The sequence below is a fragment of the Homo sapiens genome, chromosome 15 (genome assembly GCF_000001405.40).
Source record: "Homo sapiens chromosome 15, GRCh38.p14 Primary Assembly".
Lineage (NCBI taxonomy): Eukaryota > Metazoa > Chordata > Mammalia > Primates > Hominidae > Homo > Homo sapiens.
Genome location: NC_000015.10, coordinates 71,447,659 through 71,473,714, shown reverse-complemented (window position 1 = coordinate 71,473,714; position 26,056 = coordinate 71,447,659). Strand labels below are relative to the sequence as shown.

Genomic DNA, 26,056 nt, shown 5'->3' with positions numbered 1-26,056 from the left:
ACCCCAAAACAGGGGTCAGGGTCCTTGATACCCCAGCCCCATCCCATAGGAGCAGTGGCAATGGGAAGGGAATGTTCCCTGACTCTTTTCTCTGTATAGGATTGGGGGCACCAGTGGTAGACTACATTCCTTACAATGATATGAGCATGTTAGGCATTAGTGTTCAGGCTGTTACCATTACTATGGTGAACAGTCATTTACCAATAGGTTGCCTGGTAGATTTGAAGGCTCAGAAACAGCGACAACTCCAAGTAATTCCGTGCTCAGGGTTCCAGCTGGGGTATGGCCTGGAGAAAAGGCTATAGCTTTTAAAATAATATTGAATGACCTAAAAACAGTTTATGATTCTCAAAGCTGGGCCAGGCACGGTGGCTCACACCTGTAATCCCAGCACTTTAGAGGGCTGAGGCGGGTGGATTGTTTGAGCCCAGGAGTTGGAGACCAGGCTGGGCAACATAACAAAACCCTATCTCTACAAAAAATGTAAAAATTAGCCAGGTGTGGTAGTGTGTGCCTGTAGCCCCAGCCACTTGGGAGGCTGAGGCAGGAGGATTTGCTTGCGCCTGCAAGGCAGAGGTTGCGGTGAGCCAGGATCACACCATTGTACTCCAGCCTGGGCCACAGAGTGAGACTTTGTCTCAAAAAAAAAAAAAAAAAAGCCAAATACAGTAATACAGTCAAAAAGACTTGGTAACATTAAGAATTTTTTTTAAAAGCACCTGAAAATGCACTATTCAAAACAGATCTCACCATTAACAGCATCTGCAACAAGTCTGCCTGCACAAATCAGGTATTCTCCGTGCCAGAGTTACATAAAACAACTCACACTGCCTCCTCCAGTGTTTCAAAGGCTACATTTCCTTCCCATGGGAGTTTTTCTAAATTTACAATGCAAAGTTTACCACTCACACAGTTTCAATTAAGATGACATGTGCTTTATGAGAATAACACACAAGTCAGCCTCCTGTGAAATCAACCTCTCTTAAAATCAAGATCCCATTTCCATGCAGGTCAGCGAGCAGGACTTCCAAGACGCATCAGGAGAGGGGATGTTTCTGGAACATTCATCTTGGAATGAAGAAAAATTCCTCAGGAGACTTTTTCTAGTTTGTCTGCTGTGGAACTCTGCCCGTTAGAGAAGCCAAGCCTCTGTTCTCTAAGAAGAGCAAAGAAATCTTCAACTGGGGGGAGTTCTAATGGGCAATATGAGTGAGAGCACAATTAAAGGCTTGCAGGGACAGTCCAAGTCTTGTTGGAAAGGATCCCTGCTCAGATGGGCCTTTCACAGATAGGCAGTAGAGTTACTCTAGAATGAATTAACTGTTGATGATAATAATGATAAACAGTAGTGGTTAATATGTATTGAAGGCCTAATACATACTAGTTAGCATTTAAATATTTGACTCTTAAGTTTATAAGCATGAAATCTTGACAACAACCCCATCATGTAGATACTGTTATTAACTCCATTTTACAGAGGAGGATAAAAAACTTACTAGGCCAGGCGCAGTGGCTCATGCCTGTAATTCCAGCACTTTAGGAGGCTGAGGCAGGAGGGTCACTTGAACCCAGGAGTTTGAGACCAGCCTGGGAAACATAGGGAGGCCCTGTCTCTACAAAAAGCTTTAAAAATTTAGCCAGGCATGGTGGTGCATGCCTGTGGTTCCAGCTACTCGGGAGGCTAAGGTGGAGGGATTGTTTGAGCCCAGGAGGTTGAGGCTGTAGTGAGCCATGATTGTGCCACTGCACTGTAGCCTGGGTGACAGAGCAAGATCCTCTCTCAGAACAAAAACAAAAACACCAATGTACTTAAGCTCACATGGTTGGATGTGGCCAAGTTGGGATTCAAACCCATGGTCTGACTCCAGATCCCACGCTCTGAAACCCCTACACAGCCTGTCTCTCATAGCCAGTGTTGATTGAGCACTATGGATGATCTTACCTGAATCCTCCCGGCCACCCAGTAAGGAAGGTTTTATGACCCCCACTTGATAGATAAGGAAACAGGAATGAAAAGTGTCAGGGACTTGCCTCAGGCTACATATCTAGTATGAGGCTGGGCCAGGAAGTGGAGCCAGGCATGTCTGAGCAGTGCATCCTTGCTCCTGATCACTTGATCATACTTCGCCTTTCACATTGCAAAAGACAAACATCTGACTGAGTGACATAAAGTGGGTGAGGGCAAGGCAAAAGAGGACAGCAGGAAGTGGTGGCTGGAGGGCCTCAGAGGGGCACACTGTATCCTTAAGACCCAGCATGACACCTCAGGGCTGGCCTAGGTGAGTAAGAGGGGTGTGGGAGAGATGAAACAGAAAGTATTAAGCACATTTACCACCCCAGAGAGTCAGGGCCTCCTGTAAAGGCACAGACATTCTGGAAACTCTGTCACCTGTCCCTCCCCTCCATGAGTCTGATTTTTGGACACCTCCACCTGCTTGCCCTAGTGATTAATTCTGAACCTTAGCATGCAGAGGGCCCATGTGCTCACATCCAAGGGAAGCTGGTTGAGTGTCATGAGTGGGGATGGGTCACAGAAGGGGTAGCCTGGGACTGGATGGGAGGAGAGCAGCAAAGTCCTGAGGCCCACAGCACAGGAATGTGCAGGAACCGACAGGCATCAAGGCCAAGGGGTTATCCCAAAACCAGCAAGTTCTTTTTGTTTTTGTCTCTGCTTAGCAGACAAGCTCAAACAAACAAACAACAACAAAAAGAAATAGCCTGATAACTTTAAACATACTGCAAAACTTTCAAACTATATATGAGTTTAAAATCCTCACTCAGGCCGGGCGCGGTGGCTCACGCCTGTAATCCCAGCACTTTGGGAGGCCGAGGCGGGTGGATCATGAGGTCAGGAGATCAAGACCATCCTGGCTAACAAGGTGAAACCCCGTCTCTACTAAAAATACAAAAAATTAGCCGGGCGCGGTGGCGGGCGCCTGTAGTCCCAGCTACTCGGGAGGCTGAGGCAGGAGAATGGCGTGAACCCGGGAAGCGGAGCTTGCAGTGAGCCGAGATTGCGCCACTGCAGTCCGCAGTCTGGCCTGGGCGACAGAGCGAGACTCCGTCTCAAAAAAAAAAAAAATAATAAAATCCTCACTCAGCCATTTATTAGCTTTGTGATCTTGATCAAATCACTACATCTCTGTCAGTTTCCTCACCTATGAAACGGTGATAATACTAGTACCTCCTAATGAGACCATTAGGAAAATTAAATGAATTAATAGACATAAAATGCTTACAACAGTACTCTGCCATAGCAATGCTGGCAATTGCTGTTATTATTTTCTAGCAGTGGTTATCACTTGGGTTTTAAAAGACCTTTATATTGAGACTGTGCAGCATTCACATGGCTCCAAGTAGTCAACCTCTAGGAAAGAAACAAAAATTCTCAATTTTATTGGTTCCCTCAGGTAGGGAATAGGTAGAACTCCAACAAACTATCAGGTTTTTTCCACAACCCTTGAATGCAAATAATTATCCCAAAGCAAAGCTCTGACTCCTTATAAATTAGTAGTAATTATGAATCACTTCTAGAAAAAAAATGAAAAGATTTAAAAAAACAAAAACAAAAAACAAACTACTTTATAAACTACAAAGTTCTTAAGGTAGGGAACCTCTTATACTTATTGCCTGAACATGTGAGATTGTTTCATGCCTTTACACCTTTGCATAAATCGGCTCCTCTGCCTTCATCTCTACCTCCATATGGCTAGTGAACTCCTATTTATATGTTAAAATCCAGCTTGGACATCTCCTCTGTGCTCATTTGACACTGTACATATTTATATTGTATGAATTCCTCTCTATTATAACTGTATGTTGTTCTCCCACTAGATTGGCTCAATGGTCTTTGTATATCATTTAGCACATGTTGTTCATTTTTCTATTCGTTAAACGAATATTGATAGAAGGCCTGCTATATGTCAGGTGCCACAGGAGACACTAAGAAAGGATACAACAGCGAGACCAGCATGGTGGAGATCATGGGGAGGGAGATCACCAGACTGAAATTCCTGCCTTCTTGCCGAAATAGGGCAGTCTTCCAAAGATATATTTGATGCAGATGTGTTGAGCCTAAGTTGAACACATATCCGGCTAAATGTATTCATGTGGGTGCTGCTTAGTAGATAAATACCACCTGTGCCTCACTTCGCCGGAAGGGGGCTCTCAGAAGAAGTTGGTTGGCAGCTTCTCAGCCTTGAAGCCAGCCCCCAGCAAGTGTCCGTGGGACTGTGAGGCAGGGGAGCTAGGCCACGGACATTCTCGCATTGCTGTCTCACTGTTCTCCATGGGTTGCTGACTTGTGAACCTGCAGCTGCATTCTGAGAGCTGGAAAATCTGAAAATGTAATGTTAAGTCAACTACAACTTGGGATGTGTGTGTGGAAACCAGTCCTGTGTGCAATCTGAGGATGCCCACTGAGGACAAAGCCATGACAACCACATAGGGCCTGGGCAGTGCAACACATGAAGTTAGCACGGTTTAGAAGATGGAGAAAAGTTTATCAAGCAGAATTCTCTTTGGAAGTGAGCTGCAGGTGTTTGAGAAGAACACCCAAACAATATCTTAGGTCAAATGTGAGGCCTGGAGGGAGCCTAATCACATGTCAAATTAAGCAAGGCAAGAAAAGGGATGGATGTTTATTGTCACAGGTGTGACAGAGTCTGCTAGTTGTCTTCCAATATTTATTCTCCCTTTCTTCCACAGTAAGAGAACCACCAGGTTTCAGACACGCAAATACCTGCCCAGAATAAAGACTACATTTCCCAGTCTACTTTGTAACTAGGTGTGGTCATGTGACTAAGTTCTGGCAAATAGGATGGGAGCAGAAGTAGTGTGCAACTTTTGGGATATTCTTAAAGGGAGGGCATATGCCCTTTTTGCTGGCTGGAATGTATATGTAATGGCTGGAGCTGCAGCAGTCACTTTAGATGATGAGATAATCTTAAAAATAGAAGCTAAGCATGAAAGAGTAAGACAGAAGAGGGTCCAGTAATGTGGAGACCACAACAGCCCTGGACTGTTTATTCTCAGACTTACCTAACGTGAGGCAGAAATAAACTCCTTTAGATCACTGCTATTATTTTTTCTATTATAGCTAAAAGTAATGTTTTATTATATTTACATATTATTTTTCTCTTATAGCTAAAACTAATGTTAATAGGAAATAGGAACAAGGGAGTGAAGTGAGGGCTGAGCCCTTGAAGGCACCTATTGCCAATTGCTTGTTAAAGTCACCTCTGGTGGTGTTTTGGACATGCTATCCAAAAATATGGGACTTTTAGCATATGAGCATATTAAATATTTTAAGGAAAAAGGGATCTGAGAGAGCATGTGCAGGAAGGTCTCCAGACCTGTATGATTCTGTTCTCATGCTGCTAATAAAGACCTACCCGAGACTGGGTAATTTATAAAGGAAAGAGGCTTAACTGACTCACAGTTACACATGGCCGAGGAGGCCTCACAATCATGGTGGAAGGCGAAGGGGAAGCAAGACACATCTTACATGGCAGCAGGCAAGAGAGAGCGTGTGCATGGGAGCTCCCCTTTATAAAACCATCAGATTGGCTGGGCGCAGTGGCTCATGCCTGTAATCCCAGCATTTTGGGAGGCTGAGGCGGGTGGATCACCTGAGGTCAGCAGTTCGAGACCAGCCTGGCCAACATGATGAAACCTCGTTTCCACTAAAAATACAAAAATTAGCCAGGCTTGGTGACAGGCGCCTGTAATCCCAGTTACTTGGGAGGCTGAGGCAGGAGAATTGCTTGAACCTGGGAGATGGAGGTTGCAGTGAGCCGAGATCATGCCACTGCACTGCAGCTGGGCGACAAGAGCAAAACTCCGTCTCAAAAAAAGAAAAAAAAAAAAACCATCATATCTCCTGAGACTTATTCAATATCATGGGAACAGCATGAGAAAGACCCGCCCCTATGATTCAATTACCTCCCCACCAGGTCCCTCCCATGACACATGGGAATTATGGAAGCTACACTTCAGATGAGATTTGGGTGGGGACACAGCCAAACCATATCACCTTTCTCCTGCTCTTCTTCCCTGAAGCAAGTCATCACACCCAGGAAGGATTTTCTGACCCTTCCTTGAAGCAGGTCATATGACCCTCATATGGAGGTGACCTCCCTATACTCAGAGAAGAGAAGCATCCTTATCTCTGAAGACACAGGGACAAGAAAAGAATCTGAACAAACAGGCCTTGCTTGCTGAGATTCCCCCAGTTTATCACCATTAGATTGCACTCTTTTGCTCTATCATATTTCTCCATGACTGTCCACTCTTCATCAAACCTGGCATAAAAATACACAGATTTAATCATTTCTTCAGGTATTCATTTCCTTATGAAGGCTCCAGTGTCACATAAAACTTATATTAAATAAATTTGCACTTCTCTTGTCAATCTGTCTTTTGTTATGGAGTGCTCAGCCGTGAACCGAGGATGGATGAGATATTCCTCCTTCCACACCTCTCATGATCATCCTAATCTTTAGTAAAGTTAGTCAATTCATGACAAGTTAACTCATGCCATGTGGACTTTTGTGGAAAATAGATTTGGGGAGAGACACAAAGGCAGCACGTGAGGTTGTAGAAGTGGAGAGGCAGAAAAAGCAAGCTCTGGAAGTCCCTGGAAGCCACGGGAAATGGTTTGGATCTCCTAGGCCTTTCCATTTGAATTGAATAAGACTTCCGGGGATGTGAGTTACAAACGCGAGGGCAATGCCTCACAGGGGACACCGGATTAGAGGTCTGGATAGGGAGGCTCCCTTGCGGAAGCTACCTTTTAGCTGAGGCCAGAGGCCCTTGAGGCATTTGCCCCAGACTCAACAGGGCTCAGGCCCAGTCCAGTGTAGCTAGAAAGGGGCTGGATGGGGCATGAGGGGAGGACTGTGTGACTAAGGGGTGATGTGAATAGAGTTCCTCCAGGTTTCATCAGAAGACTTTGAGATTAGCATTGCCTCCTAGAAAGACAGCCCTGGCTCCAATTCAGAAATCGGATGAGAGAAAAGCCAGCTGGAAGCAGGGAGGGTCATTACCAAGCCACTGCCACAATCTGGGCAAAAGGTGATGGAGGCTTCTACCAAGGGATGGAAAGAAGAGGAGCATTTGAGGGAGATCCAGAAGGTGGAGCAAACCCTAGAGGGATGAGGAAGAATGAAGACTCAAGGAAGGCTCCTGAGGGTTCTGCCCTGGCACCAGCAGATAAAGGACATGATGTCTTGGAGCATGTCCTCTCTGGATCGGGCCTGGAGCTGGGGGATGCTGGGGCTCAGGTGGGTGGTCTTCAGCATAACCATGTCTGACCCTTTTTCTCTGTTACAGCTTCTCCTGGGGCCTCTATTTTCCTTTTTTTTTTTTTTGAGATGGAGTCTTGTTCAGTCTCCCAGGCTGGAGTGCAGTGGTGCAATCTCAGCTCACTGCAAGCTCTGCCTCCTGGGTTCACACCATTCTCCTGCCTCAGCCTCCCGAGTAGCTGGGACTACAGCTACCACGCCCAGCTAATTTTTTTTTGTATTTTTAGTAGAGACAGGGTTTCACCATGTTAGCCAGGATGGTCTTGATCTCCTGACCTCGTGATCCACCCACCTCAGCCTCCCAAAGTGCTGGGATTACAGGTGTGAGCCACTGCGCCCGGCCTCTATTTCTCTTTCTATTCCCCATGTCTAAGTGAAAGAAGGGGAGAAAAGGAGGATAAGGAAGAAGAAATATCCCTTAGAATTCTCAAGGAAAAGTCAGCCAGATCCTCTTCTCCACATCAATTTCATCCTTGGCCTTCTTCCCAGGCCTTTCACTCACCTGCCACAGGAAACTTCAGGACCTACCCCCCATGGAAGTGCCAATAAATGCCCTGAATAGGCATTCTCTTATTTGCCACTACTTTAAAACTGATGTAAAGTGACCAAAGCATTCTTTCCAGTGCCTTCCTCTCTCCAGCTGATATTGCATGCTTTACAAATGAGAGAGCAACAAAGCAGGTTTTGGGAAATAACCCATGAGATTAAACCTTTCCCAACAGGGGAGATGAATACCGACAATGCAACAGACGAGGTTTGCTTGATATGTAGGTAACTTGGGTTGCAGGGATAAAAAGTCTGCACAAATATAAATCTTAAATTTAAATGCACATCACCCAGATTTTAAATAATGATCCTCTTTCCTTTGGGCTCATTAAATCTGAAGCCAAGGAGGGAGGCCAGGGAGAAAATAAAGCATAAATCTATCAATTAGCTTTATAATGTAGAAAGGAGTTGAAACCCCCAAAAGGTAGCAGGAACAGCTTTTAAATCCTGCCTTTTCTCTGCCCCTGTCTACCTCTCACAGCCACCCTAATTAACTGCAGCATAAGTGTCAAACTACGGAATCACAGCCAAGATGCAGTAGGAGCCTGAACTGCTGAGTTCAAAGGGAGCTCATTTGTTTATGACTATTATGTAATGACTGAGTCAATCACACTGAACATCCTGTGGGAGACCTTGTTTCCATTAATAAAAACCTTGTTTTCTTCAAAGTGAAATGCAAGAACAGATTAATACATTTAAAAATGAGTAGAAACAGGTTTATTCACTAAAGAATTTCAGTGGCTAAAAGCTAAGATTTCCTAGCATTAAGGGCAAGCATGGGGAGGTTGAGTTCCACCTTGAGTCACTCGCTCACCAAGAAAAAAATAACTCAGGTAAAGGTCATACACAAGACAAATTTGACTCAATTTGGAAGGTTTAAAATGTGCATTTCTTACTTACTCACGGGGGAATATAAACTTATATTAAAAGTGCATATATTCATTTTCCTAAGTAGGGAATTGAGGACTTAAGGGGGAGGGGGTAGTGTTTTCATGTCTTACTCTAATGGAAGGTCATAGTTTTGGAAGACTGTGGAACAAATGGGAAGTTGGTAGCTGGCTACCCAAGGAGGGCTTATACATAAGGATTCTGGGACTTCTCTGAAAACAGTGTCCATCTCCCAAAACTGGGAAAATTATGGCAGAGGAATTTCTGATTAGGGGGTTTGTACTTAAACTTTAGAAGGGAAAGTGTCTAGGTGAGATGATGAGTGAGAAAGATGATACTGAGGGACAATGAGTGTGTTGCAGGTAAAAGTACCAAAGCCCTATCTTTCCCATGAAAAACTCAGGGCAAGAAAATTGGGTATGCTCCATATAGCTTAAAGGAGCTGCAAACCAAGACACAGACTGTGGGTAACACGGCTACCTTGAACTGTGACCCTTGATGGTGAGCATCTTTTCACTGGCATCACCAAGAATGATAGCTGAAACTCATTGTTACCAGTCAGGGAGAAAAAAAGAGTATACCTTCTCTAAATTAACAAGCAATACACAGTACTGGATTACCAGCAACTTGGGAACTGGAACCCAGTCTTCTCATCTATATGGCCACCCACCGCCTTTCTAATCTGATAGGTGAAGGGTACACTCTGCCATGAAGGTTCTGGGGTGGAGAGGGAAGCAATGTATATCCTACCCATGGTGATTGGTCCGATGGAAGTCACATCCTGATGGGAAAAAAGGACTGAGCCAGAGTGGACTGTCTAAACCAAAATGGGATAAACAAGCATGGCATGGAGCCAAAACAAATGGCTAAGTCAGAGGTCCTAATGCAGAAGGCTGGACAACTAGGATGGTGGGGAAAGACATGAGCTTGAAGGACTTCCCAAGATAAAGCAGAACTAACCAGAAGAGCCTGTTATAGATTCATATTGGGGGAGTTTGGGGGTTTGTGCAGGGTGCATCAAAAAGCACTCGCATGGAATAAACATATCTTGCACAGGAACATATGACAGGTAATTGAATAGTTTGATTTGAATTATGTAAAGACATGATCCTGATGGTAGAAGGATGGTACAGAGTAGACAAATGAGGCTAAAAGATGAAGGTGAATGAACTCAGCATAGCTAGAGAGACAGCTGAGGAGGAGTTAAGAGATTGGAGTCTAATCAGGATAATAACACTTGTAAGAAATCAGGTAATCCCTGGTCCTAAAGGGTGAGGACAAGAGGTCGGTCAATAGATAGATCTTTGTGAACCTAGAAGTTCCCTAGGCTGACCCAGGAGTTATGTGGTTAGGAAAATTGAGCAGAGGACAAAACAGTTCCCAGCTTGCCCCATTTCCTTTCTTCCTCTGGAGCAAGAAGCAGGTTCCTAGAACTGACAACTGTAAATGTCAGAGACCCAGAATGTATTGATTAATCAGGCATTTAGCAAAGTCTTTCAGGAAATTCTTGTGGACAAGAAGGAGAAATGCGGACCAGATGACGGTATAATTTGGGCGACTGATAGTTGGCTGAAACATGTTCTCAAAGATAGCTGCTGGAAGGGGGCAGGGAGGTGACCTGGGTCTGCCAAATGGCTCTGTCACGGGTCCTGTTCTACTCCTCATTACCATATGTGACTTGGATACAAAGATAGACGGAATGCTCATCAAAACTGCAGATGACACAACGCTGGGAGAAATAACTAATATGATGAAGTCAAGATTAAGAGTTAGCAAATATCAGAATGACTTCAATGGGCTGGAAAAATGAGCTGGACCAGCGAGAAGGAATTGGATGGAGGTGAATGTGAAGTCTTTCATTTAGGTTCAAAAAACCAACGACATGAATATAGGATTGGGACATCCTCAACTGACAACAATTCCCTTCAACAAAACTGATAATTTTAGTTGATCACAGCTAAAAATAATCCAATAGTTTCACATGGCTGCAAAAAAGCTAATGAGATCTTTGGTCATATCAATAGAAACATAACATCCAAATCAACTGGAAGAAACAATCTCACTCAACTCTGTCCTGTTAAGACATCCGGACTGGCACAGTACCTTGCCAACAGACAACATTCAACAAATACTTGTCACACAAATGAATGGATACCACATTTTCAGATGGACTTTGAAACTAAGATAGTTAGTTTGGAGACTGTACTTTAAAGAGAAGGCTGAACAAACATGGAATGTTTAGCCTGGAAGAAACTAAGGAGACCCACATGAGATGGGTTTTCAAATATTTGAAGAAATTTCACATTTGGTTTTACTCCAGAGAGAATAAAAATTAAGGGTCAATGGTCAGAAGATATGCAGAGATACAACTTGGCTCCAGTAGAAAATGAGAACTGTTTGAAAATCAAGGGTAGTGGTGGCATGTGTTTTATCACTGAATATATTAAAGTAGAAGTGGGATGATCATCTTTCATGTCTTAAGTGTTTCAGAATGTATGTCTGCATTCATTGAGAGTTAGGCCTGGGCTGGGCATGGTGGCTCATGCCTGCAATCCCAACATTTTGGGTGGTGCAGGAGGATCACTTGAGCCCAGGAGTTTGAGACCAGCCTGGGCAACACAAGGAGACCTCATCTCTACAAGAAAAAAAATTAGCCAGATGTGCTGGTGCTTGCTTGTAATCTCAGCTACTTGAGAGGCTGAGGTGAGGATCACTTGAGCCTGGGAGTTCAAGGCTGCAGACAGCCATGATCACATCACTGCACTCCAGCCGGGGTGACAGAGTGAGACCCTGTCTCAAAAAGAAAATGATCAGAACTAAGTTTAGTGAAGAGTTATATTTTTTAAAAGACAATATGAAAAAGAAAAAAGAAAGTTAGGCCTGGAAGACCTGTTAGATTTCTTCCAACTGTAAGGTTATAAGAGAGATGATTCTAAGATGCTTCTGGTCTTGTTTCTTCAGCTCTGAAGGAGCTTCCAACTCATGGGAGTTGGCTCGCCAACATACAAAGCTTCATGCCAGCCAATCTTGGCCACATATTTCAAAGCAGCAGCTAACAAAAGAACCTGGCCTGCACTCCAGGATGGCAACAAATGAATGGTAACTTTGTAAAAAGAGGTTCAGTTTTGATCTATTTGTTTAACTTTTCTCAATGCAGACACTAGAGAAGAAAAAAAAAAAAAAACCTGACAGTGCCCATATGTCTTCATCATAGTGGAAGAAAATCCTACTTGGAAATTATGATCAAAAGTGGACTCTAATATTGACTTTTCTGGACTGTATTTTTGTTTCTTAACAAAAATCATATTAAGTACGTTTGGAAAGGAATAATGCTTTTAAAGGACTACATATATTTTGACACTGTTTGGTAGCCATATTTAATACTAATGGACCCTATAAATCCCAACAGGATCTATTTGCTTCTTTATTTGAAATAACACTATGGAAATTTTCTACTAGAGGAGACTGAAAGTGCTGAAGGGCCATCGAGGGTGTGCTGACCCAGCTCTGAGATGGCAACTGGTGTTCATGCCCTTCTATAAGTCCCTCACACACTGAATAACACTGACCTTGTAACCAATAAGATTGCAGAGATGACAGGGTATGACTTCTGGGACTAGGTCATAAAATATATTGGGGCTTCTACCTCGCACTTTCTTAGATCACCTGGGGAAGTCAGTGCCATATTGTGAAGACACTCGAACAGCTCTATAGAGGTGCATGTGGCAGGGATCTGAGGCCTCCTACCAACAGTCAGTACCAATTAACTAGGCACATGAGTGAGACATCTTGCAAACAAATCTTCCAGCCCCAGTTAAGCCTTCAGATGACTGCAGACCCAACTAACATCTTGACAACAACCTCATGGGAGGCCCTAAGCCAGAACCACCCAGTTAAGCTGCTCCTGAATTCTAGAGTCACAGAAACTTTGTGGGGTGATAAATGTTTATTATTTGATAATAAATATGATAAATGTTATTGCTACCTTTGGGAATAATTTGTTATGCAGCAATAGTTAATGAATATGGGGGGGTTAACATAGAGCTACCATGAGTAAAACTCAGTTTTTCTCTGTAGTGCTTAAATAGTAGGGGGCCAACAAGAAGAACCAATATGTATAAACCGGGGACACAGGAAACCATACAGAAGATACAAGTTTTGTCTTTCCAGGACTGCAATGAATGATTAGGCAATGCCAGACACCAGCAAGGTAAAGTGACCTTGGCATTAAATACGAAACGTAGCTATCTTGTACGCAAACAGGTAATGTTCATAATTGTCCCAAGGCAGTCTTTTACTATTTTCACTGAAGAGACAGCTACCAGCCCGTCGAGAGAAAGGCCAAAACCCAGATTCTAAAAGTATCTGTTGACTTTAAATGGCCCAGGATAAATCAGCTCCCACAGAGTCAAGGGCATTACCGTCAGCTTCTGATGTGAGTTCAGGACTGGAGGTAACATAAACCAAGCTAGAATGTGCAAATATGTCCACATGCCATCCAGCCCTACTGGCAGGCAAAGGCATAATAAATTCAAGGTGGAATGTACACTGATCCATTAATTTGGGGAGGACAGGCATGATACTTAAGTGCCTTTTAATATACCATTCAATCTACTCCTGGGGTTATCTGGGACCAATGGCATGCTTTCAAAAAAAAAAAAAAAAAAAAAACCAGGCAACTTGTATTTCTTCTCCACCTTGCTTATCTACCTATATTTTTATGAATGCTGGTAAGTGATTAATTTCTTCTATTAGTGAGTCGGCTCAGAACATTGACCTAGCTTTCAACCTCTTAGCCATTCCCTTAGGGAATCTTTTCAGAATGTGCTCAAGAAAAAGAATTACCACTGGTATCGTGGGCCACAGAAATCAAGTGGATAAAAAGGGGACAGCTCCAGAGAAACATGAAAAAGGGGTCTTGACACCTATTATAGGATAGACATTAGTGTGGCCAGAAGTAGAAAATCAGAGACAGGCCCAGAGGTAGAGACCGCTGGTAACTTTGGGGCTGCAAAAGGTATGGTTGAGTGTGGCATAAGAGAAGTAGATCCGGGCTGTGTGAGACTGAATATATAGTCTTTAAGAGAGAACACAATCCAAAAAATTAAATGTATAAAGCTTATCTGCCTAATACCTCATCTCCCTAGAACGTATTAACCCACTCTCTACTCTCTAGTTCAAAGCAGCACACAATGAGCCAATCCTTTACAAAATAAAAATGTTATTCTTAAGTAAGGTTAGTTATTATATGTAACTTTTTAGTTTATATATATTCATTCCTAAGTTTGTATATATTTTAATATGAGGGTTCTGGGTCATTTTTACTTTGGGAATGTATGTGTTTCTTTTTGTATTTTTCAAATTAAAAAGTAGCCTGAAAAATACCAAGACCTGCTTCAAATATTCTACTTTATGCAAGAGATACAACTATTTGAAGAAAACTTGCAGAAGAAATATTTCATTCTACCTTAAACTAAGCAAGGTGAGCAAAACCCATGCCAGAGACAGTTCTGGGCCTTTTTGCTGGGTGACCAGCTCAGGAGCATGTTGACGAGAGAGAGAGAGAGAGACAGAGAGAGAGAGAGAGAGAGAGAGACAGAGAGACAGAGAGACAGAGAGAGAGAGAGAGACAGAGAGACAGAGAGAGAGAGATAGTTGGGCATGGTGGCACATGCCTGTAGTCCCAGCTACTCAGGAGGCTGAGGCAAGAGAATCGCTTGAACCTGAGAGGTGGAGGTTGCAGTGAGCCAAGATTGCACCACTGCACTCCAGCCTGAGCAACAGAGGGAGACTCTGTCAAAAAAAAAAAAAAAAAAGAAAAAAAGAAAATGAAAAAGAAAAGGCTGATACTACTCAAGATTCAAAGGGTGAAGTTAGGAATTCATGAGAAAGCTGTGTAAAGTATACCTTTCAGGTCCCTAAAATATAATTCCCAAATATTTTCAATCCAAGTGTTAATTATAAATAAAACATAGTCAAGCAGAGAAAGTTCCATCTGAGCATCTAGCAAAGTAAAGAACTTGTGACTGGCCATCCACAGTGGGCACGACTGAAAATGAATCACAGAGTCAAGGTTTTTAAAGGGTAAATAAGTTTTTGTTTTTAAAAATTCTGTGTGAAAGACTATAACCTAAAGTTGCAGAGATCTCACAGAATAAGAATGGCCCTCTTTCAGTAACGTAAATGTCTTCCATGCTTTCTCCAATAACATCTAAGGATGAATACAATATTTTCCTCACCTTTATTTCCCTTTTAGAAAGTCCTAGGCTATCTAGAGTCTTGATGTGTGACAATTACATGATCAGTTAACATTTATGCTTTATCATTCATGAAGTACTTTTGGTACCTTACTTGTTTTGAGCTTAATAACAACCCCCAGAAGCAGGCATAGTATTTTTACTTGCGAGGAAACAGGTGTTTGGAAGTCAGTGAACATTTATTGAGTTCTTACCAGGTATGCTGGACTCTACCAAGTACTTTATACACCTTATCATAGTCCTACTGCAGTACTGTTGTTTTTTTACATTTATTATCCTAATTCTAGAGATAAGCACACTAAAGTTTAGAAAGGGAAGTATGTTGCCTTTGATAATATTGTTATAAATATAATAAAATACAAACTAAGACAAAATAGAACCTTTGGCTCCAAATCCCAGGCTCTTTCCACAGTGTAACAATAGATGTATGAATCATATTTCCACGTGTATTTATATCACAAAATCCTTGTTCTAAGTTCATCTGATTTTTGGCAAGTCACCAAATTTCTCTGAACTTCAGTTTTATTATCTGTGAAAGAGAAATACTAGCAACAATTATAACAATTAATCCATGGTCATTAAAGAATTAAACCAATGCATATACATATAAATGTAAATATGCAATGCATATAGATTATAATAAGATTATATTTTCACCGGATTGTTTCACTTTTAATAATGTATCCCAGGTCTAGAAAAGCCCAGGAATCCTCTGGGAAAGGATTCTGGTAACTGCTAATATCACAGATCCCCTGACTTCATTTGTTCATTCCCCACATATATGCTAGGCATTGTCATGGCGCTGGAAATCCAACGGTGAGGAAGATGGACTAAGACTCTTCACTCCTGGGGCCCACATTCTGGAGAGGAAGACAGGCCATAAACATATAACCAAAGACATGCTAAGACCTCAGGTAAGAATAACGGATCCGGGAAAAATCAGGCAGTGTGAGGGGGTAGAGTACAGTGGTGGTGGAGGGACAAGTCTTGGAGACAGGCTGGTCAGAAGATGACCCTCTGAACAGAAGCATCGAAGAAGTGAATGAGTGAGCCTGGTAAAGGCCCCAGGGTCAAGTGTTCCAGCAAGTGTCAAGCCCCTGAGGCAGACATAGGCTTGGCAAGACCAAGAACAAGGCTGGGGTGTCTGTGCTGAGTGGGAATGGTAGGTGGGAGGCTGGAGCTCTGGGAAGGAGCCAGACCTTGAAAGGACCCTGTTGTCCACAGCAAGGAGACTGGACGGCATTTCAGGTGATGAATCCATTTCTTAGCCCCAGCCAGAATGGGCAAGGTTGGAAACACTTGCATTACCATCTTGGCTTTTTTTTTTTTTTTTTTTTTTTGAGGCGAGATCTCACTCTGCCACCCAGGCTGGAGTGCAGTGGCGTGATCTCAGCTCACTGCAACCTCTGCTTCCTGGGCTCAAGCAATTTTCCAGCCTAGCCTTCCAAAGCTGGCACTACAGGAGCACGCCACCAATGCCCGGCTAATTTTTACATTTTTTGTGGAGATAGGGTTTCACCATGTTGCCCAGGCTGGTCTTGAACTCCTGAGCTCAGAGCGATCTGCCTGCCTCAGCCTCCCAAATTGCTGGGATTGCAGGTGTGAGCCACTGCGCCTCGCACATCTTGGCTTCTTTATTGGACAGAATTCTGCATACCCTGGGGACTTTATCCTTGTTTAATGGATGTTCATGAGACAAAGTTCACAAGTTCTCTCAATGAGACAAAGTTCTCTCAATGAGACAAAGTTCACAAGTCAGCCTAGAAACTGTAGCTTCTGGAGGGAAGGCCATCCATGGCCCTAAGATATTTCCTTGAAGGGACTCTTGTACTTCCCCAGAACCCTCATTTAATCATCTTGAGCTGAAATAACACTGGTTTGTTAAAGAAGGGAATGCCTCAAGATGGATTTTTGAAGGGAAAATTTCTTGGCTGCTGCTATGAAAAGAGGTGAAAATGGAGAGAATTTACATGTTTTAATCCACAGCAGAAGTTTTGCCTCCCCATTCTACCCTAACACTCTTTCAATTTCTAGAATAGGGGCTTGTTGAAAAGGAAGCAGTGCAGCCTCAAGGTGGGGCTCCCAGACTCAGAAGTTCCACTGCTGAGGTCTGATTCCTGACTCAGCCACCCACCAAGTATAAGACTGCAGGCAAACTGCTATGTACCTCAGTTTTCCCATCTGTGAAATGGGGATGGTAACAAAACCCACCTAACAAGTATGTTTTGAGATGATTGCTTGAGATGATCAGGTAATATGCTTAGCACAGTGCCTTCATCATCACCATGAATCATGAAACAATGCTTTTTTTCTTTTTCAACAAAGATGATCATTTAAGCATCTTCACCATCTGACCAAAATTTGAAGGCAGCTCCTTTTGCTCCTGGCAAAAATTCTTTCCAGAAGTGAAAGAAATTAGGAAAAAGAAATGCATTACTTTGCCTTAAACTGTGAGGTGAAGGGAGTACACAGGGTGGAAAGCATATAAATAAACATGGTGTGCTGCATTAGCACTCTTTGGATGCTTAACGGGACATTTTCAAGCTATTTATTTAAGTAATCCAAAAGTAAACCACAAGAGGAAAAGAGAGGAAGAGAAAAGTTCTTTCCTTATACCCAAAGCAAACACCGCAAAATAACTTTGCCATTCGTAAGAGGGGATCCCAGTTAAGGTAGTCAAAGCCTGACTTTGCTTACAAAAGGTGGCCCCCTCAGAAAGGTCAGTGGGTCAAACAAGGCTGAGCTTGACCCCTGACTTTCGGACAGGCTCAGAAAGAGAGGAAACTGACCTCAACGGGGCAGGATCAATGGCCTCTGTTGCTCAAGGGAAACAAAAGGACCTATCAGAATTGATGGGAAAAGCACAAAAAATTGCACTCCTTGCTTTAATCTAGGGCCACCAGAGGTGAAGAGAGCAATTTTGTCTTTGACACCTCCCACTTCTCTTTCAGCATCTACTTGTGTCAAATTTCTACCCCCCTCCTCAGTGCTTCTAATTTCTGCCTGCTACCTCTCAGCCAAATTGGGGTTCATCTGGAACGGATTACATCCACAAATTCACTTTCACACTAGGCCTGGTGTCATGCTACAGAGAACAGCATTTTATTACAGCCCAACTCCTTAGGTAGAAGGAATGAATCCCTAATGCTGGGGATGGGTCTAATGGCATATGGACCCACCTCAAGAGACAAGCTGCCCTGGAGCATGGAATGATGGCTACTCATTAAGGGAGTGGCCTGTCTTATCCATGAAGCAGCAAGGCCAAGGGGGTGGCTGATGGAGATAAAGAACACTCTCCAATCACACACCCTACCAAAGCCTCCAAATCAATATACAGTCAAAGCGAAAATTATAGGCTTCTCAGTAAACACGACTACATGACAAGCCCTGTAATATCACCTTCCATGCAACCTGACACCCTAAGCCCTTCTGATTTCATCATTGTGGTGCCGCTGCTGCATCAAGTATGAAAACCTTCTAGCCTCAAGGGGCTCAAGACTTCTACATCAGGCAGAAGGAGGGAAAGCAAAGTTCTGCTCTTTTCTAGCCCTCATTTCTCCTGCTCTGCAGACCTCCAACAAATACACACAGCCACAAAAGATGCCTTGGCCCAGAGAAACCAGGCAGGAATTTTCTCATGGTAGAAAATCCAGCCCCACGTGATCAGCAGGTGATGCAGCCATTTGTGGGTGACAAAGGTGGGCATAGGAAGGGAGAGGGAGCCTCTAGTCAAATCAGAGAAGATTCATGTTGAAAATCAAAGCTGTAGCAGGGGTCCCACAGGCTTCTGGCTTTGGAAGGAGAGAGTGTTTATTCCTCCCATCTTGATCTCTTCAACTGGGCTTTGGGGATTTTATTGATTCAGTCAATTTAGCATGTCTTAGTAATGAATTCTTGTTAATTTTGTTCCTCTTTGGAATGACCTTAGTGTCAGGGAGAGATGTTTGGAGAGCTGAGATTGCAAAGGGAGGGAAACTAGCCTGCCAACACTGCACTGAGAAAGCCTTCTTTTCAATTACCTTTCTGACCACTTAGAATGAATTTTAACGGGCTGTGCTTTTCCTGGGACATTTTTTCTTTGAACTTCCAGACTTCCCTTCATTGCAAGTTGCCATAATATGAACCAGATTCTTTTTCTCCCTCTTGTTTGCTTAAAAGGCGTTAACTATAAATTAGAGTATCTTAAGAGCGAGGTGTCACACGCGGGGCCTCGGGCTCCTTGGCCCTGGAGCCCCACAGCTGGGAGAGGGGCCAGGCCACCTCTTTCTTTGGTGGCCAGACTCCAAGACCCAGGCCAGGGATGATCCCACCCTTCTTTTCAAAGCTATCCAGTTACATCAACATACAGAAAATGCCTTGTTTAACTTAAGTATTAAGGTTTATTACCTTTAAAAAGAAAAAAATTCTTTCCTAGAGGTGCAAGAGAGGAAAGAGTGGGGTTTCTTTTTGTTTTTGTTTTGTTTGAGATGGAGTCTCACTCTATCACCTAGGCTGGAGTGCAGTGGTGCTATCTCTGCTCACTGCAACCTCCACCTCCTGGGTTCAAGCGATTCTCCTGCCTCAGCCTCCCAAGTAGCTGGAATTACAGGCATGCACCACCACACCTGGCTAATTTTTGTATTTTTAGTAGAGGTTGGGTTTTGCCATGTTGACCAGGCTGGTCTCAAACTCCTGACCTCAAGTGATCCATCTGCCTTGGCCTCCCAAAGTGCAGGGATTACAGGTGTGAGACACTGTGCCCAGCTGAAAGAGTGGTTTTAAATGTACATTTGAGTTATTTTCCATGCAATTCTTTCACTCTAAAGAGCATGCCCCCACCATGGAAACCAGGTTCATTTGCAATGCTCCCATGCCTGGAAGAGATGCCTGGAGTGTCTCATCTGTGGAAGCTGCCAGCAGGCGGTTATGATGGTCACAACACAAGAAGGCAATGACCATCACAATCCATTTTTTACATGTACCTATTCATTAAATTCTCATCAGAAAATCTTTAAAACCGCACATACCCACATCCCTCAGTGTCTGGATACAATACCTCCAGGGAACAAAGCCACCAACCAGCGGACAACCATTGTTGTAGTGTAATTCAACTTTGTTTTTTGGACACTGAAATTCACAGCTGTTACTCAATGTCAAAATCTAAGTCGCCAAGTACCAATTGTTTACAGGTATAGTACTAAATAATTTCACATCTGCTCCTGTCACCAAATATGATTTCCAATTATTATCCAATGTATTATTCGTTTGTGGCAGGTGACACCGTGTTGCTCCATGGCCCTCACAGTGAGGCATCCAAGGACAAAGGAGATGACAGATCAGTTCCTGAAGCCCATTTCAGACAGAAGGGTCTGACAGCAAAACACTTTGAACTTGTAAGAACTGGGTACTTCAGATCAAAGAGTTTAAGTTTTGAATTCTGAAAGGGCTTGGCCTGTAAGCTACATTGTAGAGAAGAGGAGAGCTACGGCATGAGGCAATGTCTTGCCACAGGGGAAAGGGTGGTCTTAGTCTGCTCAGGTTTCCATAAAAGAATACCATAGATTGGGTGGCTAAATCACAGAAGCTGATTTTCTCACAGTCCTAGAGGCTGGAAGTCCCAGATCAAGGTCCAGAAGGGTTGGGCTCTCGTGAGGCTCTCTTTCTGGCTTGCAGATAGCCACCTTCTCGCTGTGTCCTCACATGGCCTTTCCTCAGTGGTTATGAGCAGAGACAGAGATAAACTTTCTGGTGTCTTTTCTTATAAGAGCACCAATTTCATCACAGGGGCCCTATCCTCATGACCTCATCTAAATTTAACTGCCTCCTGGCCAGGTGCAGTGGCTCATGCCTGTAATCCCAGGACTTTGGGAGGCCAAGGCAGGCAGATCACCTGAGATCAGGAGTTCAAGATCAGCCTGGCCAACAAGGTGAAACCCCGTCTCTACTAAAAATACAAAAATCAGCTGGGTGTGGTGGCGGCACCTGTAATCCCAGCTACGTGGGAGGCTGAGGCATGAGAATCACTTGAACCCAGGAGGTGGAGGCTGTAGTGAGCAGAGATCGCGCTACTGCACTCCAGCCTGAGCGACAAGAGCAAAACTCCGTCTCAAAAAAATATAAATAATAAATAATAAATTTACCTCCTAAAGGCCCCATCTCCAAATACCATCACCTTGGGGTTAGGGCTTTAACATATGAATTTTTTTTTTTTTTTTTTTTTGGTGGAGGGGAGCCACAATTTCAGCCATGACAAGGGTTAATCCCTTTGAGAGCTGAGGGAGGAGGGGAGACTGGCACGGAGGGACTAAAGTTTCCAGTGTGGAACTTTTTCCTTCACCTCATGCAGCCTCCCCCATACCCAGCCCAGGGTAGAAACACCTGGGGGTGGGAATAGAAAACTACAGAGAGTTTTGGGAACCCAAAGCCACAGGGACTTGGGTCCTCCTTCCCAAATGGGAAAATGGGAGCTGGGAGATCACCTTGCAGAGTGACCCCAGCAACACAGGACAGCTGCAGGAGAGGAGATGCAGCGCTGTGGCAAGTCCAGCAGAGAAAGGAGCTGGCACAGCAGCCACAAAGCCAGTATGTGGCTACAGGAGGTGGTTAGGCATGAGGTGGATGGCCAGAGCTGGGAGCCTGGCAGGGATGCAGGGGAGCCTGTGAGCATCAGCAGCACTCATGAAGACCATGGTGGAGCTTGAGCTTGAGCTAGTAAGGAGGGTCCTGAGGGAAGGCTGGAGTCCACCAACCCTCAACAGTGTGCTGCCAAACAAACCAAGAGTCGCCTCCCTGTGACTGGAGCAGATGCAGCGAGGACATAGGTCCCAGAGACCAGGCAATGCGAAGTGCAGCTCCACTGGTCAGCACGAACCAGCAGAGAAGAACAATGGGGAGCACACCCTCTTTCCTCAGGACCAAAACGCTGTGTATGCTTCCTCCTCCACCCTGACCTACCCAGGAGAACAGACTGAGAAAGGGGAAGAGAAGGGACCTGGAGAAGGAGGGAGGAACTCTGGGAGAGAGGGCAGTTTTCCAAAACAGGCCTAGTCCAGAAGTGACATCTAAACCAGAAAGGACTAGCTTTAACTGACTAGAAAATAAAATATCACCCCTCTCCCAGCCCCCATGCCTCTGTCTACCAAGTGTTAATGCAAATCATGTCCACTGAAGGAGTTCAGGAAATGCCACCCCAAAATATGCCACTTTGGTGTGCTGATTACTTAGAAGTGAAGGCACTTGGGGAGCAGCAGATGCAGGCAGGGAAAGCCTTCCTTATCCGCCTAAAGACGGATCCTGCAAAACAAACTCAATTGTCATGAATCTGCTCCCTGGGAATCTTCTCAACATGGGAAGATTAACTGGGATCACAGGAGTGGAGCTTGGAGGTTGATCCCAGTCCAGACAATCACCTCCGCTCCCAAGGGCTGCTCAGAAGCAACTTGTATTACTCAACAGACTTTTTATCTGCCTAACAAGGTTACTTTATTCACCATACAGTTCCCTGACTCACCCTCCCATAACTTGTGTCGCTACCACCCCTAGAAGCCTCCCTTTTTTTTCTTTGAGAGGGAGTCTTGCTCTGTTGCCCAGGCTGGAGTGCAGTGTTGTGACCTTGGCTCACTGCAACCTCTGCCTCCCGGGTTTAAGTGATTCTCCCACTTCAGCCTCCTGAGTAGCTGGGATTATAGGTGTGTGCCACCATGTCTGGCCAATCTCTGCATTTTTAGTGGAGACGGTGTTTCGCCATGTTGACCAGGCTGGTCTCAAACTCCTGACCTCAAGCAATCCATCCGCTCTGGCCTCCCAAAGTGCTGAGATTACAGGAGTATGCCGCCACGCCCGGCTCCTAGCCCCACTATTCCTTTCTGTAGCTCAGGATGCAATATAGGCTTCAGTCATCTGACCCTTCTTTGAGTCTCATATTTTGTGGGGCTCCCGTGTGTACTTATATAATTAAATGTGGCTTTCCTCCTGTTAATCTGTCTTATGTCAATTTAATTCATAGCCCAGCCAAGGAACCTAGAAGGGTGAGGGGCAAGCCACATTTCCCTCCCCTACACTACCAAGTGAAATGGGGGCTTGTGAACAATTTGAGCTGAGTTATGAGCAAAGTTACACCTCCACAGACTCCAATTTGTCACTAATTTATACTTGTTACATAACCTTGGATGCTATAAGAATTATTATTTCCATTTTGCAGATGAGAAAACTGAAACCTGGAGAGCAGCAGCAACTTGTGAATGAGCACACAACTTGTAAGTGATAGAAGCTGGATGTGAGCTGAATCTTCTGAGCCCAAACCCAAAGTGTCTTCTGTTTCTTTCCTGTTCTACTCTCCCCCAACCCTCTCTGAGTGGGCATAGCTCTCAGGTGAAAATTAGAGCAAGAAAAAAAAAAATCTTCAATTGCCTGCATTATTCTCACCTGGGCCTACAATCACCAGGCACCCAGAGCATGAGTCTCCACTTTTTTCCAGGCCTAAGCTTCCTCCAGGCAGCTATGCCAGTCAAATGAGGCATATGGACACGCAGCCACCCAATTCACTAACTACAATGACTCAAGGCGCAGCGGGTTAGTGAAAGAAGCAACAGGTCTGCCATCCTTGAGTTTTCAAACACACACTGCTGGATTTATATATTTGTCCCACACAATCCCTCCTTCCCTTGTTCCTTCGTTTGCACATCACAACTCCTATGGCCATCCGTGTCCACCCTGGACAGCTGCCCTAGGCCAGAGTCCCAATCCACCTCTTTGCATTGTCATAGGACCTTAATATGGGAAGTAGTTTCTTTTCCTACTTTTAATCCTAAGTAGTTTTTTGTTCCTGTCTACAAATTCTATCATGAATTTGTGGTAAAAGCTACCCAAGGAACTAGGTGGATAACAATTGGTATTAAGATGACTGCTTTTCATTTTCTAGTAGTTGGGCCTGCATATTGGGTATAAATCAATTTTCTCCCAATTAAATCTACTTACTTCTCAAACGCTATTTTCACTTGAACTGTTAAATTTTACTTCTCATTTTGCTCCCAACACTTTACAACCCAGGCTAAAGTGACTATAAAATGTCTACACAGGATGGGGACAACCGATTATCATCATTGTCCTGTGTGACTTTCATGTCTTTAGATTACATGGTAATAAAAATAACAGCTGATTGTATTTTTAGTACTTACAGAGTAGCAGGCACTGTAAGTACTACACAGAATTATCTCCATCTTCACAATGACTCTGTGAAGTAGGTTTTATTATCACCTCCATATTTTCTGAGGCGCAGAGAGGTTAATTAACCTGCCCAAGACCACACAATAGTTAGTAGGTGATGGAACCCAGACAGCAACCCAAGTCTGACTCCAAAGCTCATGTTCTTCACCAGTGTCTGAAATGCCACATAGAAACAGTATCAATGTACCCCCAAATAATGTGTTCAGTGGAACAAGAGTTTTAAACCAGAAGTACTGAATAATAGTGTATGTGTTTATGTCGACAAGAGCAGTTTAAAAGCCCTAATTACTAACTCAAATCAACATATAAGCCTTTTCCATCTGAATATCAAAGTCCTGATGTGGCAACTGAGTGTCCTCTGTGATCACCATCTCAAGGAATGTGGCCAAGGAGAATAGGTTTCCCTTGACCCTCTGGGGCAGTGACCAGGTCGCCCGCTGGTCAGACAGGCACACTGGTAAGGCTGGCCAGTCCATTTTCTGGTTTGCCCACTTTGGCTGCTGTGAGGGAGAATGAACAGAAGGCAAGGGGGTTTGTATGTACTCATGAAATGTGTTTACAGCCAGTCCCCAGTTTTCACCACTTCTCCTTTGACCAATCTATTCACCCAGCCATGCCTGGGAGCCACCTATATTTAACTTTTCACCACCCTGACTGAAGAATTTGTCAGTTTCTACCAGGCAGTTAATATTATCAGTGACTGGTTTCCCAATCAATGCATGAGTGCCATCTAGAGTTAATGGAGGTAACTGCAGCCACAGTGGACAAATCATTCCTTCCTACATCTTCCTAAAAGTCCCTGCAGAGAAAGCAGGAAGGACTGCATTAAGATCATTACAGGACTCAGGGATGGATACCCCATTCTCCATGATGTGCTTGCTTCACGTTGCATGTCTGTATCAAAACATCTCATGTACCCCATAATATACCTACTATGTATCCACAAAAATCAATAATTTAAATTTAAATTTAAAAGAATCATTACATGACTCCATACTAGGCATTACTTACAGCAAACCACGCAAATACGGTTTCTGTTTCTGAAGACTTTGTTATGTAAGGCTGGAAAAAGAAGTTAATACATCTAATATCTATTACCTCAAGATCAAATTATGAAATGCCCCCAAATGTTAAGGGAGTTAGACTTGAGATAAGGACCGGTTGTTTCCTAAGCAGTCTCTGCCACCAAAATATTTGATTTTGCCTTGGGCAAATGACATTTCTCTGGGCGTCAGTCTTCTCAACATTGTCTTCTTAATATTCTCAATGAGGATGTGGACAATATGATACAAGTCATTCTTACAAGGCCCATTTCTAGTATATAATACAAGACTTCCACATAACAACTTTTAATGGCTGCTATTGTTTCAAGCAGGCAGACAGAACAAGAAATAGAGTAAATCTTCTTGTGACCCTAACAGAACCCTGACAATGTTTGTTTTGGCATTGTCCCGTAAAACCAGATCTGTGCCTGGCTCATGGGATATAACCAGAAGTCAAGTAAGCAGAGCTGCCGAGAAAGCTACTGTTTACCAGAGGAAAAGCCACAGATTCAATTGACAAGTAACCTGTACCTTTAGTCCTTCTTTTTGCCTGGAACATGGACTCAGGAGGTGGAAGAGCCAGGATGTGTTCATGAGAACATGCAGTGACATGCCAAGGAGAGCAGAACAAGACTCTAGAAGGCTCCCAAGCCTGTGATGAATTGTAAGTGCATGTTTATTAGCCCAGGACCTCTTCCTCTGGAGTTGTTCCATGAGAAAAACAGTATCTCTTTTGGTTAAACCACTCTAGGGTTTCTGTGGCAAGGAGAATGTCATCGCTAATTGACACAACTCAGGTTTTGTCTTTTATTTT

General features: G+C 43.8%; 1 protein-coding gene across 7 annotated transcripts in view, besides 1 other annotated feature; it reads right to left on the bottom strand.

Annotated features, from left to right (window-relative positions):
- The window catches only part of THSD4 (thrombospondin type 1 domain containing 4), a 686,490-nt gene that overhangs the window by 309,669 nt on the left and 350,765 nt on the right, over positions 1-26,056 (bottom strand). The window lies entirely within an intron of this gene.
- Positions 7,540-8,231: an enhancer, noted in NCBI's record as "OCT4-NANOG hESC enhancer chr15:71757823-71758514 (GRCh37/hg19 assembly coordinates)". NCBI's record gives its function as "activates a minimal SCP1, AML or CMV promoter by ChIP-STARR-seq in naive H9 embryonic stem cells {active_cell/tissue: H9 hESC(naive)}" and the evidence as "EXISTENCE:reporter gene assay evidence [ECO:0000049][PMID:30033119]".